Source organism: Homo sapiens, chromosome 4 (genome assembly GCF_000001405.40).
Source record: "Homo sapiens chromosome 4, GRCh38.p14 Primary Assembly".
NCBI classification, from domain to species: Eukaryota; Metazoa; Chordata; class Mammalia; order Primates; family Hominidae; genus Homo; species Homo sapiens.
Genome location: NC_000004.12, coordinates 154,951,376 through 154,967,339, shown reverse-complemented (window position 1 = coordinate 154,967,339; position 15,964 = coordinate 154,951,376). Strand labels below are relative to the sequence as shown.

Here is a 15,964-nt window from a genome sequence, read left to right as displayed (position 1 = left end):
TGAGAAATATTGATGGACAAGCTAAATGACCCTCTTTCAAGGTTTCACCTAACAAATATCTGTGAAGTGCCCAAAAAGTAATTCTGTTATGTACTGAGGTTACAAGCACAACAAAACCAGGATCTCACCTGTGTTAGTGTAGCTCTCCATCTGGGTGGGGCAGAGGAGCATAAGTCACCCAAAGTAATGAGCACATAATTACCTGAGGTAACTGCAAAAAAAGGCAGTAAGACAGTCCCAAGAAAGCATGTATCAAAGGATCCTGATGCAATCTGTGGGGTGAAGGAAAGGTAACTTAAAAACATCAGACAAGAGCTCTCTGAAGGGTCAGGCTTAAGTAAGAGAGAAGGGAAGAAAATTATCAGAAGAGGTAGTCAGCAAATGCAAAGGTCCTGAGGCAGGAAGGTGAATTGTGTGCTCCAGAAACAGAAAGAGAACACAGTGGCTGAGTGCAGAGAGCAGAGTGAGGGTAAAAGAAGAGAGAGTAAAGAGGTACACAGGGGCCAGATCAGGTGGGGACTTTTGGGATCAAGCATTGGAATTCTTAAAACCTTCCTGGGTGATTCTAAAATACAAGTTTCCAGAACCAGTAAGAACCCCTATATTAGATCATACTTTTCATTCTTTTCAACTAAGTTACCATTTATTAACTTAAACTATAAATTTATTTTATAAACAGCAAAATTACCTATCAATTAAACATAATGGAATAATCGGTCTATTAGTCCGTCCTCGTACTACTATAAAGAAATACCTGAGACTGGGTAATTTATAAAGAAAAGGGGTTTAATTGGTTCCACAGGCTGTACAGAAAGCATAGCTGGGGGCCTCAGGAAACTTACAATCATGACAGAAGGTGAAGGGGACACAGGCACGCCACACATGGCCACAGCAGGAGCAAGAGAAAGAAGAAGGAGATGCTACATGCTTTTAAACAACCAGATCTGTGAGAACTCACCCACTATCACAAAAACAGCAAGGGGGAAACCTGCCCCCCATGATATATTATATCATTAAACACTGGTGTTTATAATTTGACATGAGATTGGGGTGGGGACACAAATCCAAACCATATCAATTGGTCATTGAAACTTGAAGTCCAAAGACCTTGGTGCCTAGGTACAAAAGCATGAGAGGTAGGAGTGAAACAATGTCAGATCTTCATTTTGAATGTTTCACTGGCTTCAAAGAGGGGAGAATGACTCAGAAGGGCAGAGAGTATGGAAGCCCTGTAAGGAGGTGACAGCAGTAGTCTAGGAAAAAGATGATGGTATTTGCCCTCTCTGCACCTTGGCTCTCTTAGCTGTAAAATACAGGGTGCTAAACAAGATAATCCCTAAAGACCTTTTTGGCTTAATGCCATCAAACACAAAGGATGGGATGTTTGTTGGAGAAGGATGTATTATTAGTCCAGTGCACAACTTAAAGTGGTAAAATGAAAGCTGGAAGTGCATGAAAGTTGGATTTCTTCTCTATTATTTCCGCCAGCATTAAAAATGCTGTAACAACTCTGTTTTTTAAAAAATCCTTGACTCCATATTTTCTTCTAGCAACTTACACTTTTTCTCTGCTGCCCATTTAAGCAAAACTATATGCAATAGAGCCTTCACCATAATTACAGGTAGATGGGCAGCGATATTACCCCTAGAATTTGTGAAAATAGCATGCTTCGCTAGAAAAGAAAATATTCTTGGTTTAAAGCCTTAATAAGAGCAAAATGGAAGTTTTAAGGCTATTTTTCTTTTTAAAGATTTTCCCCTGTGTAAAATTACAAACATGGACGTTTCTATTCACAACAAATTCCTTATTTATCTTCATTCTCCCTTCTCTAGGCAACATCCATAAGAGGGTTTTGCAGATAATAGGTGTACAAAAGAGATGCATTGCACGAGTGAATGAACAGAGGATTGTTTATTTTTTTTTCTTTTGGAGTGTCTTTTCCTGATGAAATTTTAACCCCGATTTTTTAAAGGATTTTATTACTCTGTGGCCAGATCACCAGATGATCAATGTCTAGTCACCACAAGAGATAATTCAGGACATGGCTCTAATATCTCTTTACAACTGAGTATCTACTATGTGCAGACATTATTCTAGGACCTGGGGATACAGAAGTGAAGACAGATTAAGCCTGACTTCATGAAGCTTTTATTCTAGTGTGGAAGACACATAAAAATTAATAAATATAGCATTACATCAAATAATATTAGGTGGAAATAAGAGCTATTAAAAAATGTAGGACACTGTTCGGTTTTAGGGTCAATACTACCCCTTTATGTATAACATTCACTTTAAAAGGCATTTGCAGGGGCTGGAGATATCAATTGGGTCAGTGATAGCCAGAGAAAAGGCTCTAAGAAAAAGTGTGAAGTGATGGGAAAAATGAAATCAAGATGATGAGAAAAGTAAAAAAAACTAGTTACCATCATGAAATAGAACTGCAAATGGGTGATGGTCAGGCCTAGCCTCAAAGATGTGAGTAGGGTGGGGGCACAGCATATAAATATCTGAGAAAGAGCATTCCAGGCACCAGCAACAACAGTTACAAAGCCCTGGTAGAGGAGCATCTTTGCACTTTCAAGGAATATCCAAGGATGCAGAAGACGACAGTTTAGGGAGGTCAGCAGGGAACAAACTATGTAATGATGTGCCCCACAGAAAAATTTTCCATTCTACTTTGGAGGACTGAAACAAAGATTGACATCATCAGCATTTCGTTTTCTTAAGAATCACAGTGTCTGTTCGCAAATGAGGCTTTAGGGAGAACAAAATAGGGAGATGAGTTAAGAAGTTCTTGCAATCCTCAGACAAGAGATGATGGTAGTCTAGAATTTTTTATGGCAATATAGAAGGCAAGACATGGTTTTATGCAGAGTATATTGTGAAAATAGAGCCAAATGGTTGTCTGAATATTGAAGGTGACAGAAAGAGAGATTTTGAAAATGACTCCAATATTTGTAGAGTGAAAGTCTTATAATTGACAGAGATGAGGATTCTGGCAGAAAGCAAAGGTTTATTGGATAGTACATAAATTAATTTTGGGACATGTTAAATGTGAGATGCTTCTATGTTCTGAATGTGTTCCTCAAAATTCATGTGTTGGAGACTTAATACCCAATACAACCATGTTGCAAGGTGGGTTTTTTTAGGAGGTGTTTAAGTCCTGAGGGTTCCACCCTCATGAATAGATTAAAAAGACTTGGTGAGGAAAGTGTGGCCCCTGTATCAGTCCATTTGCATTTCTATAGAGGATTATCTAAGGCTGGATAATTTACAAAGAAAAGAGGTTCTTTTGGCTCACGATTCTGTAGACTGTAAAAGAAGCATGGTGCCAGTATCTGCTTCTGGTGAGGGCTTCCAGTAGCTTCCAGTCATAAAAGAAGGTGAACAAGGGGCAGACATGTCACAGGGCGAGAGAGGGAGCAAGAGAGAGAGGAGGTGGTGCCAGGCCCTTAAACAACCATTCAATGCCATCCCTATCAAGCTACCAATGACTTTCTTCACAGAATTGGAAAAAACTACTTTAAAGTTCATATGGAACCAAAAAAGAGCCCGTATCGCCAAGTCAATCCTAAGCCAAAAGAACAAAGCTGGAGGCATCACACTACCAGACTTCAAACTATACTACAAGGCTACAGTAACCAAAACAGCATGGTACTGGTGCCAAAACAGAGATATAGACCAATGGAACAGAACAGAGCCCTCAGAAATAATGCCACATATCTACAACCATCTGATCTTTGACAAACGTGACAAAAACAAGAAATGGGGAAACGATTCCCTATTTAATAAATGGTGCTAGGAAAACTGGCTAGCCATATGTAGAAAGCTGAAACTGGATCCCTTCCTTACACCTTATACAAAAATTAATTCAAGATGGATTAAAGACTTAAATGTTAGACCTAAAACCACAAAAACCCTAGACGAAAACCTAGGCAAAACCATTCAGGACATAGGCATGGGCAAGGACTTCATGTCTAAAACACCAAAAGCAATGGCAACAAAAGCCAAAATTGACAAATGGGATCTCATTAAACTAAAGAGCTTCTGCACAGCAAAAGAAACTACCATCAGAGTGAACAGGCCACCTACAGAATGGGAGAAAATTTTTGCAATCTACTTATCTGACAAAGGGGTAATATCCAGACTCTACAATGAACTCAAACAAATTTACAAGAAAAAAAGAAACAACCCCATCAACAAGTGGGCAAAGGATATGAACAGACACTTCTCAAAAGAAGACATTTATGCAGCCAAAAGACACATGAAAAAATGCTCATCATCACTGACCATCAGAGAAATGCAAATCAAAACCACAATGAAATACCATCTCACACCAGTTAGAATGGCTATCATTAAAAAGTCAGGAAGCAACAGGTGCTGGAGAGGATGTGGAGAAATAGGAACACTTTTACACTGTTGGTGGGACTGTAAACTAGTTCAACCATTGTGGAAGTCAGTGTGGTGATTCCTCAGGGATCTAGAACTAGAAATACCAAATCTCATGTGAGCCAATAGAGTGAGAACTCACTCATTACTGTGGGAGAGCACCAAGCCATTCATGAAATGATAAATGGATCAATACAACAAATGTAACAATGTAAAATCTGTATGCACCTAATAGCATAATTTCAAAATATATAAAGCAAAAATTGAGGGAATAAGAAGAAAAAATAGGCCCACTGAGTTGAAGATTTTAACACACTTCTCTAAGTAACTAATAGAAAAGCAAAAAGTAACCCCGTAATAATAGAAAAGATTTGAAGAACATTATCTAACAACATGATTTCTTTGTTAGTTATACACCACCACATACAATTTCAAGTTCATGTGGAATATTTAGCAAAATAGATTATATGCTGAGCTATAAAGTTTTCTGAGAAACCTAAGTCAATTTGTTGATTTTGTTTTTACTCATTGGTACAGTGGAGTGGTGATTTTGAAGCTCCTTACACGCTTTACAGGAAAGGAGAGGACCTGGGCTATCAATTTAAACATAATAGGTTGCTCTCCATTTATAAAATGTCCATTGTAATACTCAACTTCAAGTGAGAATCTCAAATTTTTATAAAATAGCTTTGAAGAGAGCCAAGCGCTGTATAAAGACAAAGCAATTATTGCTCAAATTAATGGCAGATGGTGCTATCATAGTTTCAATACATTGTATGTATAAAAAACTTGGGCAACATTATTTCATTAAAATATTAGGTCATGCCTAATTTTTCAGATTGCCCTTCATTTTGCAAACCAAATTAACTTCATCCAGTTTAATCGACCAGTAAAATATTAGCTGAATATTAGGTACTTACAGACCAAAAAATCATTCATTTTCTTGAAAATGAATTCACCCTTCCTCAAATTTAGAAGCTTTATCTTCTACTACAAGTAAAAATGAATAACCAAAATCAAAGAATAGAAATCCACAAAAAAGAGCTTAAATTCACTGTTATAAACCTGAACTTAATAGCCCAAAGATAGGCCATCTAAGCATAGTACCAATGAATTGTTAGCTGAATTCTGATATTAAGGTCTCAATGTAAAGATTTTTTCGAGAAAAACGATTGTTAATAAAAATACAATAAGTGAAATGGAAAGAAAATCTCATAATGAATGTTTTGTGAGATTTGTGAACTAGAACAGATGTTTTCCTCAAATTATTACAATTTCCCTGATTTCCTACAAGCTATTTGCTTAACTGCTTTTGTGATGTTAGCAACTTTAAACTTGTATGCACCATTTAAGAAGCAACAAAAAGGGAAGAAGATTAATTTGTTTTCTGTCTGCCTTATCTAAAACATTGAAATTTCAGTTCCCCTATTCTGAGTCTTTGCTTTTTAAGATAGGGATGATAATACTTAGGTTTCTTGCTTTCAAAATGAGTTCCTTAGCAAAACTGACTCAATCTTCCCAGTACTTGCTGGGTACCACAGGGGACATGCTATCTAGCACGGTTCACAGTGTACAAGGATTTGACCTTCTTATCAGTACTTGCTGAGTACTACAGGGAACATGCTGTTTGCCAAGGTTTACATGATATAGAGATGGTTTCTACTTCCAACATGTTTTTATGTGCTATGCTTAGGTGGTCCATCTTAGCAGCTATATTTACAGTGCCAGAAGACTTTGAAGGTATGGCAAAGAGCTTCAGTGTGGACTAAAGATACCTAAAAATATAAAAACTAAACATAATAGCCTTCAAAGTAGAATTTCACTTGGCAAAATTCCTGATAACCTTACTATCTGGCTACTAGACCTAAAAAAGAATCCTAACCTAATGATAAATTTCTAAACCTAGGAATTGAGTTATAGTTAATGTCAATGGCAAATGCCCTCAAAATAGTGACATTCTGGAGGCACTTTCTGTTTATTAGCCATAATTACCATCTTTTAAATCCCATTTTTCAGCACTAGAGATAAAAGTAGGGAAGATAAAGTACACTAGACTAGAATAAAATTCTGGAAATCATCAACAACATCATTTTGTAGAACAGCAGCCCATATTAGTTGACTTGATGAACAAAATTCGCCCTAAGAGTAAATGAAAAGGTGGCAGGTCTCTTGGTTCCTGGTCTACACTTGCTGCCTTTAAAGCAGAACAAATTTGAACATAAATTTGTGGAAGGAAATGATAAGTCACATGAGAATCTGAAACAGCACTGTCACACCAGAGTGAAGCTGATGATAGTGATAAGTGAAAATAGCTGACAGAATGCAAATAGGAGCAATGGGTGTACAATTCGGGGCAAAAGGTATGTTTCCTCCAAATCAAGGAAAATGAGCTCTCAAAGATTGTCATCGCAATAATGTCACTATTTTTAGTAACATTATTTCTCACTAAACAAAAATACAGAGAGTTATCGAAAAAGGCTAACACTAATGCATGGGTTACCTGGGCCATTTCTTGTGCCCTTAGACATGACCTGATGTTGTAACAGCTCATCTTTAATAAAACAAAATAATTCAATTTCAACAGAAGTTAGCATACTGTCAGCTTCTATCACACAGTCAGAGAAGCAGTATTGATTTCAGAATTTGCCTCTATGATCATCTTCAACAGAATGATGAAGTATGTTAGTTAAAATTGTAGATTTCTGAAACCCATCTTAGGCCTACTGAGCCAGGATCTTTGAACCAGTAATTGTCTGAAACACCACAAAGTCTGCGAACCCCTGAAAGGACACTCTGACCTCCTGCTTACATTTAAGTTCTGCCTTACACTCTGTAATTTTCTTCTAAAGTGTCACCTAATGAAAGTTTGAAGTGCTGTAAGAATTACTTGAAACCTCCTACATTTTATCTTGAATACTTTTTAAAGCCCACTTTCCAGTTATCAGAGCTTAGCATAATATCCTTTTAAGTGCTTTACATTTCTGCTTGAATCAGGATGACAATGATGGAAAATAAATGCATTCAGGAGACATCTAGGATGAGGGGAATAATAGCTAAAGCTTACGATGTGCCAGGCATTATTCTAACTGCTTTATACGCATTAATTCAATCCCCTAAACAAGCTCCATAAGATTTATTATCACTGATAGCACTATTTCCATTTTGTACTAGTAGAAACTGAGGTGCAGAAAAGGCTACATTCTCAGCATAAAAAACTAGTAAGTGGAAGAACCAGGATTCAAACCGAGGCAGTTGGGCATGATAGCCACTATTCTAAACGCCACCCTACTGTCCCTCTGCAGAAGTCAGTGGGATTTACTCATTGGTTGTGTATGAATTGCAGTTTCAAGAGGTTTCTAACTTAAGACATGTTTACTAACTTAGTTCATGTTTATTGAAATGGGAATAATTACTAGCAAATGCAATAGCACATATATAATGGCTTTATTATACAGAATGAAAAAGAAATTGCAGATTTCTCATACAAACCAAGGTGGAAGAAGCCCAGGATAGCCTTTTTCTCCCCTGATTACAAGCATAAATCCTGGAGAAAATAATGAAAAGCAACTACCTGAGAACTCTGAAAGAAAAATAATAAAAGGAGAGTAGAAGGAAGGTCACAACGTGAAGAATGGCCAGTATAGCAGTGAGTTTACTAGGTTTTTTTTCTCTCACTTATCCCTGGGCTTTGATCCAAGGGTGGGCCAAGTTCCAGAACTGTGCAGCAGGCACAAACAGTGAGAACTCCAGAAGAAGCGTCCCATCTCCAGCCAGACAACCAGAAAAGAGAACCACTACATGCTAGCAAGGAAGGATACAGGGACTCCCTTCTCTCTCTCTCTCTCTTATTTTTTTCTATCTGGCCTTCCTGGAGGCCAGCCCCAGTCTAAAAATGGCATTGCTGTGACAGCAACAGGACTGGCAGTGCTATAATGAGCATCTGAAATCTTAAGGAAAACTCCTTCCCTCTGGCTAGAGGAATGTGGGAAAGGAGTTATTATGGTTTCAGAGGGGCAGCAGAAGGTGGGGAGAACACTCCTTTTTTTTGCTTTTTGTGTGATGGTTAATTTCATGTGTCAACATGACTGGGCCACAGGATGACCAAATATCTGACTAATCATTATTTCTGGGTGTGTCTATAAGGGTGTCTCTGGAAGAGATGAGCATTTGAATTGGTGGATTGAGTAAGGCAGATGGCCCTCCCCAATGTGGGTGGACATCATTTAATCTATTGAGGGCCTGAATACAACAAAAAGATAGCAGAAAGCAGGATTTGCTCTCCCTCTGCCTGACTGATTGAGATGGACATCTCTCTTCTCCTGCTCATGGCACTCCTGCTTCTCAGGCCTTCAGACTCAGGCTGCAATCTACCCTATTGGCCCTCCAACTCTCAGGCTTTCAAACTGAACTATTATATATGACTCAGTGCTATTGTCAATTCTCCCCAAAATGATTTATAAAGTCAACAAATTGTAATCAAAATTCCAGCAAAATTTCTTGTAGATATCAAAGGAACTGGAAAAGCCAAAACAATTTTGACAGAGGAAAAAAGTTGGGCTGGATTTCAAGAATTATTATAAAGCTACAATAGTTAACATAGCAGAGTATTAGTGAAAGAGTAAATACACAGATCAATGGAACAGGACAGACTGTCCAGAAATAGACCTACAATTGATTTTTAACAAAAGGCCAGAGATAACTCAATGAAGAAAAGATTCATATGTAAAGAAAAGATCTTTAGCTTATTTTACTCATACAAAACTACACTCATAGATCTGAAAATTAACATTAACTCAAAATGAGTCATAGGCATAAGTATAAAATATAAATCTATAAATTTCATAGAAGAAAATATCAGAGACAATTGTTTTGACCTCGGGATAGGCAGAGTTCATAGCTACCAAAGGTGAAGAATGATCCATATAATAAAAAATTACTAAGTTGGACTTATTTTAAAACATTTGTTCTGTGGGGAAAAAAACTGCTAATAGAATAAAACAATAAGCCACAGCCTGGTAGAAAATATTTGCAATTCACATATGTGATAAAAATTTGTATGGAAGATATATTTTAAAATCTCAAAACTCAATGATATGAATGAAAACAAAAATCCCAATTAAAAATTGGGCAAAACGTTTCAGTAGACATTTCACAAAAGAAGGTAAATGAACAGCAAATAAGCATATGAAAAGGTGCTCACTATCATCAGGGAAATGCAAATTAAAGCCACAATGAGACACCACTGTACATCTACTAGGGAGCACCCTAACAATACCAATATCAAATCCTGGAAAGTATGTAATATAACTAGAACCCACGTATACTGTGAGTGAGAGTGCAATATGGCACAGCTGCTTGAGAAAAGAGTTTGGTGTTTCTTATAATTTAAAGCATACACTTACCATATGGCCCAGCAGTTCTGCTCCTCAGTATTTACCAAGAGAATTAAAAATTTATGTTCACACAAAATCCTGTATGTGAATATTTATCGTATCATAATGTATAATTGCCAAAAACTGGAAACAACCCACAAATCCTTCAATTAGCAAATGGGTAAAAAAACATTGTGATACATCCATACAATGGAATACTACTCAGCAACAAAAAGGGATGTGTATTGATTCATGCATTAACATACTTGAATCTTAAATGCATTATTTTGTAAGCCAAAGAATCCAGACCCAAAAAGCTCCACCCAGTATGATTCTATTTGTATTATAGTCTGGAAAAAAAAAACAAAGGATGGAGAACAGATTCATGTTTACCAGAAGCTAAGGAGAGAGAGAGGATTTGACTACAAAGGACAAGGAGAAAATTTTTTTGTGGGATGAAACTGTTATTATCTAGGTGATGGTAAGATGGCTTTCTGAATTTGTCAAAACTCATAGAACTGTATACCAAAAGGTGACATTTACTGTATGTTAATTTTTTAATAAATTAAAAAATAAAATTTAAATGCTAAGGTGTTTATGGTTAATAAAAAATGGAGAGAGAAAAATACCCAATGGAAAAGCAACATTTCTCCACATCAGTGTTCATTGTTTACCATGTGGCTATAAATCTTACCATGATACATACAAAGGACAACATGAAGAAGCAGCTTATACATCTAGAGCACACACAAAGTCTTATATTGATCTGTACTTATTTAAAATATTGTCTTGGAAATGTCTTACCTTTGTGTGTTCATTATGCATAAAGTTTAGCAAAAGAATAATCACAGAACGTTTTTTCCAAAAATGGTGGTGTATGGAGTGAATATGAAGTATTAACATCTTGCAATTACTTGAGAAATAACATTGGATGTTGATTTTCTTCCTTGTCAAAAATCACAATTTTTCTTAGAGATGCTGAATTACAGTTGCTATGGGAAGGCATGGCTGGAACTATCAGACAAAATACCAGTTGCTTTATTACGTAAGTTCCACTCTCCCTGTGGGACTCAAGTTTCCTCTGTGATTTGCAAAATGATGACATCCCAGCAAAAGCAACAGTTTACATTCTTACACTCCACAACATCTATGGCAAAAGAGTTACACGGAGGAAGACAACGGAGTCTTTTTCTGGATGAGCAAAGCGTCTCTGTAGTTAAAAAAAACCGGAGTTGATTCCTCTTCTACTGTTGAAGAAAAAGAGAAGGGGGGCCCTTTGAACTACATCATCTTCAGACAGTAGTCTCAAAGAGAACTACTTGTAATGTTTGCAGTTGATTACATTGTAATGGACCTTAAAGTACTTCCACACAGGTTGTGTGATAATATGTAGCCATTAGTCAAAGCTTAAAGTTTAAGCTCCAGGGGCAGTTATCCTAATCAACAGTGCACAGTCCAGGGTGGCCAATTCCCATTACATCAAAAAGGTCCATACTGTAGAGGTTGCTATTATAAGTACTTATTTTATCCTATGTTGATTAACTACGGATGTTTTGGTAATTATCATACTGATGTCAGACATAATTTTATAACTGAAAATTATGGCTTATTGACTAGCATTTCAGAAATTGGCTACCATTGATAAAATAATCAGACACATTGATGACACGTGGATTAGCTAAAATATTTGAGATATGCTTCCTATCTTTATATTAAAAGAGTACAAATATCATCCAGCAAAACCTTCATCTTTCACCTTTAGAGATGAAACCTGAGCTTGATTCCCTAATCTGTCCTTTGCCTAGTCATTGATACAAAAGAATTTCTGATTGTCTGTTGCTAACTATTAGGATTATAAAAATGCTACCACTGGAATGCTGTTGTGTTTGTTTTCAGTGAGCCTTTCATTGAAGGTATGGTCAGAGCACCTAAGCCAACAGACTCAGGCTTTCATTGAGCCTATAGAAAAAGTTGTATAAAATATTGAAGACATTGTATGCTAACAAACATCATACATTGTTCAAGAAATCATTACATTTTATTGTATTTAAGGGTAAAAAAACAAAAAAAGGGATTCAATTATTATTTATTATTATTTTTTGCTGTTGTTATTGATGTGTGGCTGTTTTTGCATTGCAATTGTAGGGAAAAACAAAAACAAACTCTTCAGCCAGCTGAAAAAATTTACCTAGGCTTTTGAAAAACTTTAGTCTCTTCCCGATTAAATCCTTCTCTCCCTGTGTCTAAGAAATTGATATTCCCATTTTAATGCTACCGTGCTTCCACCCCAGGCACAGCTTCCCCAAGTAAATTTGCCAACACCACTGAAACTAATTTCTCCTGGCCCTTGGGTCCTGATTACACCTGGGTATCTCCAGGAAATCAGCAGCAGCTTCCATTCAACTACTTTCTTTCATAATCTTCCAACCTACCTTTGACTTTTGGCTCAAGGCCTATTGACCTACCTTTGATTTAGATTTTCAGGAAAAATCTTATTCCAAAAATCTAGAGGTCTCTCTTTCATTCAAAAACAATTTACTCCTAACAAGTACGTAACAGCAGCAGGAGGCACACAAATGCTTAGGCAGATAGAGGTAGGTCCCTGGTGAAACCCCATCCTCCTCCAGTCTTTAATTGGAAAAAGATTTAATTGGGAACAGCCTGAAGGCTGAAAGAATGGACTGCTTGTTCTGGATGAGAAATGCGACCTGGAGTGAAAACTTCTGTTCCTGTTTGTCTACCCTTTCTTGATTTGTTCTTTCTGAATAATGCTTTTTAATCGATCAAATGTTGCCTTATCCAATACTACCTATGGCCTGGCCCTCCCCCATCCTGTGCCTATAAAAACCCCAGACTCAGCCACATTGAGAGAGAAACCACCTAACTGTGGGGGTGGGGAACCACTACAATGTCCCCTTTCTGCTGAGAGCTGTTCCATCACTCAATAAAATTCTTCTCCACCCTCCTCATCCTTCAATTGTTAGTGTATCCTTGTTCTGGGACATGGGACAAGAGCTCAGGAACTGCCGAACATGGGTATAATCTATAACATAGGTGGGCTGGGGCACAGCCAGCCCAGCTATTGGCTGAGCTGGTGCACAAGCCAAACTTGGCCAAGTAGGCGGGGTGCCTCCTGTGGCAGGTAGTGTGCATGAGTGAGGCCCAGGCAGGGACATCACCAGCCGGAGGTCCCTGGCTGGCAAAGTGGCCAAGAAAAGTCCTATGTCATTTCTGGGGGCTCTCCTGGGGATCCCCAAAGGGTGAGTAAATGTGAACCTAGACTCTTCTCTTTTTTCCTGAGGCTTCTTGTCCTCAGACATTTTTCTGAAGCCAAATGAACTACCAGACCTCTGATTAGCCAGTTAATGCCTAATGGCACAGCCACAGAGGACAGGATGTGGGAGAGGACCCTGCCACCCCAACACCTCATCACTCTTGGGGGTTGGGAATGTCAGTTTCTGTCCAAATCCAGTCTTTTCTATGTCATTTTTCTTCTTTCTTTGGGGACTCTCACAACACCTATCTTTTCTTTTATAATGTTAAGAGTGTTGTTGCAAACTACAAAGATATTATTGGGTAGAATGGGCACTTAGCCTAATCACAAAAAATGTAATTCAGAACAATGTGGTTACCATCTATTCTTAGATTCAGGGAGGATACAGTGATTAAGAGATTTTCCCCTGTTGAAAGAATCTATTTGCATAAGAGCAAGAGGCTTTTTCCCTCAGACACCTTCCCCTCCCTGCAATTAAGCTGGGTTTGTTTTTGTTTTTTTTTTTACCTTTCCTTCACCATGTCAGGAGTTAACACAGCCCTGCAAATACAGGGAGTTTTCCATGCAAGAAGATTTTTTATTCCTTTTGTAAGGCATCTTACCAGCCAGTTCCTCAATTCTCAGGGATTCCCTTTTCTCTCCCTTGTTTGAGGAGGACCCAGTTCCACAGATTTACCTTAGCATTCGGTTTATTATAAGGAACCAGGGAAGGAGTGGCCCTGTCAGTTGCTGGCTTCAAGTTTGGCAAGGGCCAGCTGGGACTTAATGAGTCCATGCACCCTTGCAAGGCACCTTTTTGTCCCAAACTCAATTTCAAGCTTCAGATTGAAGTCCTAAATAGAAAAACTGGATCTGAGTGATCCCAAAGCAGATGACAATGAAAGTCAAGGGGCAGAGCACAGGTGAGCATGACTGGTCACTGACAATTAGCACCCCCCGCCCCCCCACCATTTCATGGGTAGAAGTGATGCCCATATCCATAGCATAGATGAGGTTACCAACAGCAGGGAGGATAGGCCAGTAGGTAGATGAGTGCAGATAATTCCTACCCTCTAGGCCTCCCTGTTACATGGGTGAGAGCCTCATTGGCACCCATGGGCAACACATGCCAAGGTCACCAGGACTCAAGGATATAAAGATGGAAGAGAAAAAGGGAACACCATTTTTTCTCTCTCTCCTTCACATACCCCAGGTATTCACTGGAAAGAGAAAGGACCTAAGGGATGCCTTTTTCTCCTCTTTCCAGATGAGAAACCAACCATCTTCAGTCTGTACTTCTCTTGACTGCATCCTGCATCACTGGGACTCCTTTGAAAAAAAAAAAAAAAAAAAAAAACCTTCTTTTTTTTTTTCCTGTTTCCTTCTCTGTCCTATCTTTGTGGAGGGGTGATCACGTCTCTGTACCACAAGACACTCCCCTCTGAGAAAAGTTTAATTTCCCCAAACCATAAACTGCTTGGCTTAAAAACTGAGCTGGAAAGAGGGAACCCAGAAGCTTGACATGCCAGAAAAAGGGTAAAAGTTCTTACCAGTCAGACTTCTGGCCTCTCTCTCCCTGTGCAAACTGGTTGAATTAATGGTAAAAATCACTGTTTATATTAATAAAAACTGTAAAGTTTTTATTAATAGAAAAAGGTTCTGTGAGGCTAGTCTTACGCTGTAGTGAATCTGTTGTACTTTGTGCTAAGAATTTGTCTTTCTGTATCTTTCTTTCAGTAAGAGGAGTACCTTAGGTTAGAATGTGGGCCTAGGATCTCATAAGCCCACTGTCCAAGCTAGCCCACAAACTTGTCAGTAACAAATGTTGCTGCAGGTCTCTGAAACAAACAAACAGACAAAAACTGGATGAGCTCTCCATCTTGTTTTACAGCTTTAGGGCTTGACCCTATAACCATGTGGCAGTAATTTCTTTGGGTCTCTGCCATTTTACGGTGGTGGCCTAGGTTCAATCCTGGTTTAGGGAATGAGTACCACTTTCTGGTTAATAGCTGTGTGATTTTTACCATTTGCTGATTCTCTTCCCCGCCGTGAACAACTCCTAGCTTCCTTTCCTAAGTCTTCCTTTCTCTGAGCCTCCTTTAAAGATTCTAGATTTTTTAAAAACTGCTTACCACCTCTTTGAAAATACCTCGTACACTGGCAGTTAAGTTATAACCTTAGTTGAGGCTTGTTAGTTTCACCTGTGAGGTTACTTTCGGTAAAGTTCAAAAGCCAGAAATATTGGCCACTTGGTGTGGCTAAAGTTGGGTAATAAGGGATTTAAAAGGATTTTTTAAAACAGTGCCATGGTTAAAGGTCAGCTTAATTAAAAATGGATATTCAAGCTATAGGCATATTTAAAAGGCCTTTATATATTTTTTCTCTTCTTGGATCTTGTTTTGCTGGAGAAAGGTTTTTTCTTCTCAGTCAACTGAATTATTTTTCTCCACTCTTAATGCACACATGAGAGGCCCTAAGATAACTTCGCATAGCCTGGGACTGCTTGGGAAAAACAGAGATGGTAACATGGACCCCATTTTGGGAAAAACCTCTGTTTTCTTCATGGAATCCCAGGAATTAAAAAGTAGATCAATCCCTCTCAAAACCTGTTTTTTCTTCCAGCTATGCCTGATTATTAGGCCCTAGAAACTGCATGTTTTCCTAGCCCTGTTTCTTGAAGGCCAGTGGTCCAATTAATAAATTGGCAGATGAAAAATCTTACAACTACTGAATCTTCTTCTGTCTGTGTAGTAACATATGTGTTATATGTGTGATTTTATATTAAAAAGAGTTCTAATTAGCTGACTTAAAGAAAAGTGCCTAAATCAAATATTTTTAAAGGAAAAAAAAAGATGTAATGCATTTTAATCTTCACATGATTAAAGTTCACATTATTTTAATCTTTGAGAAAATAAAAAATAGTTTTAAATATTATTAGTTAAATAGATAT

At 37.9% G+C, this 15,964-nt stretch overlaps 2 annotated features.

Moving 5' to 3' along the window:
- Window positions 12,421-12,921: an enhancer, noted in NCBI's record as "H3K4me1 hESC enhancer chr4:155875571-155876071 (GRCh37/hg19 assembly coordinates)". NCBI's record gives its function as "activates a minimal SCP1, AML or CMV promoter by ChIP-STARR-seq in naive H9 embryonic stem cells {active_cell/tissue: H9 hESC(naive)}" and the evidence as "EXISTENCE:reporter gene assay evidence [ECO:0000049][PMID:30033119]".
- Window positions 12,922-13,422: an enhancer, noted in NCBI's record as "H3K4me1 hESC enhancer chr4:155875070-155875570 (GRCh37/hg19 assembly coordinates)". NCBI's record gives its function as "activates a minimal SCP1, AML or CMV promoter by ChIP-STARR-seq in naive H9 embryonic stem cells {active_cell/tissue: H9 hESC(naive)}" and the evidence as "EXISTENCE:reporter gene assay evidence [ECO:0000049][PMID:30033119]".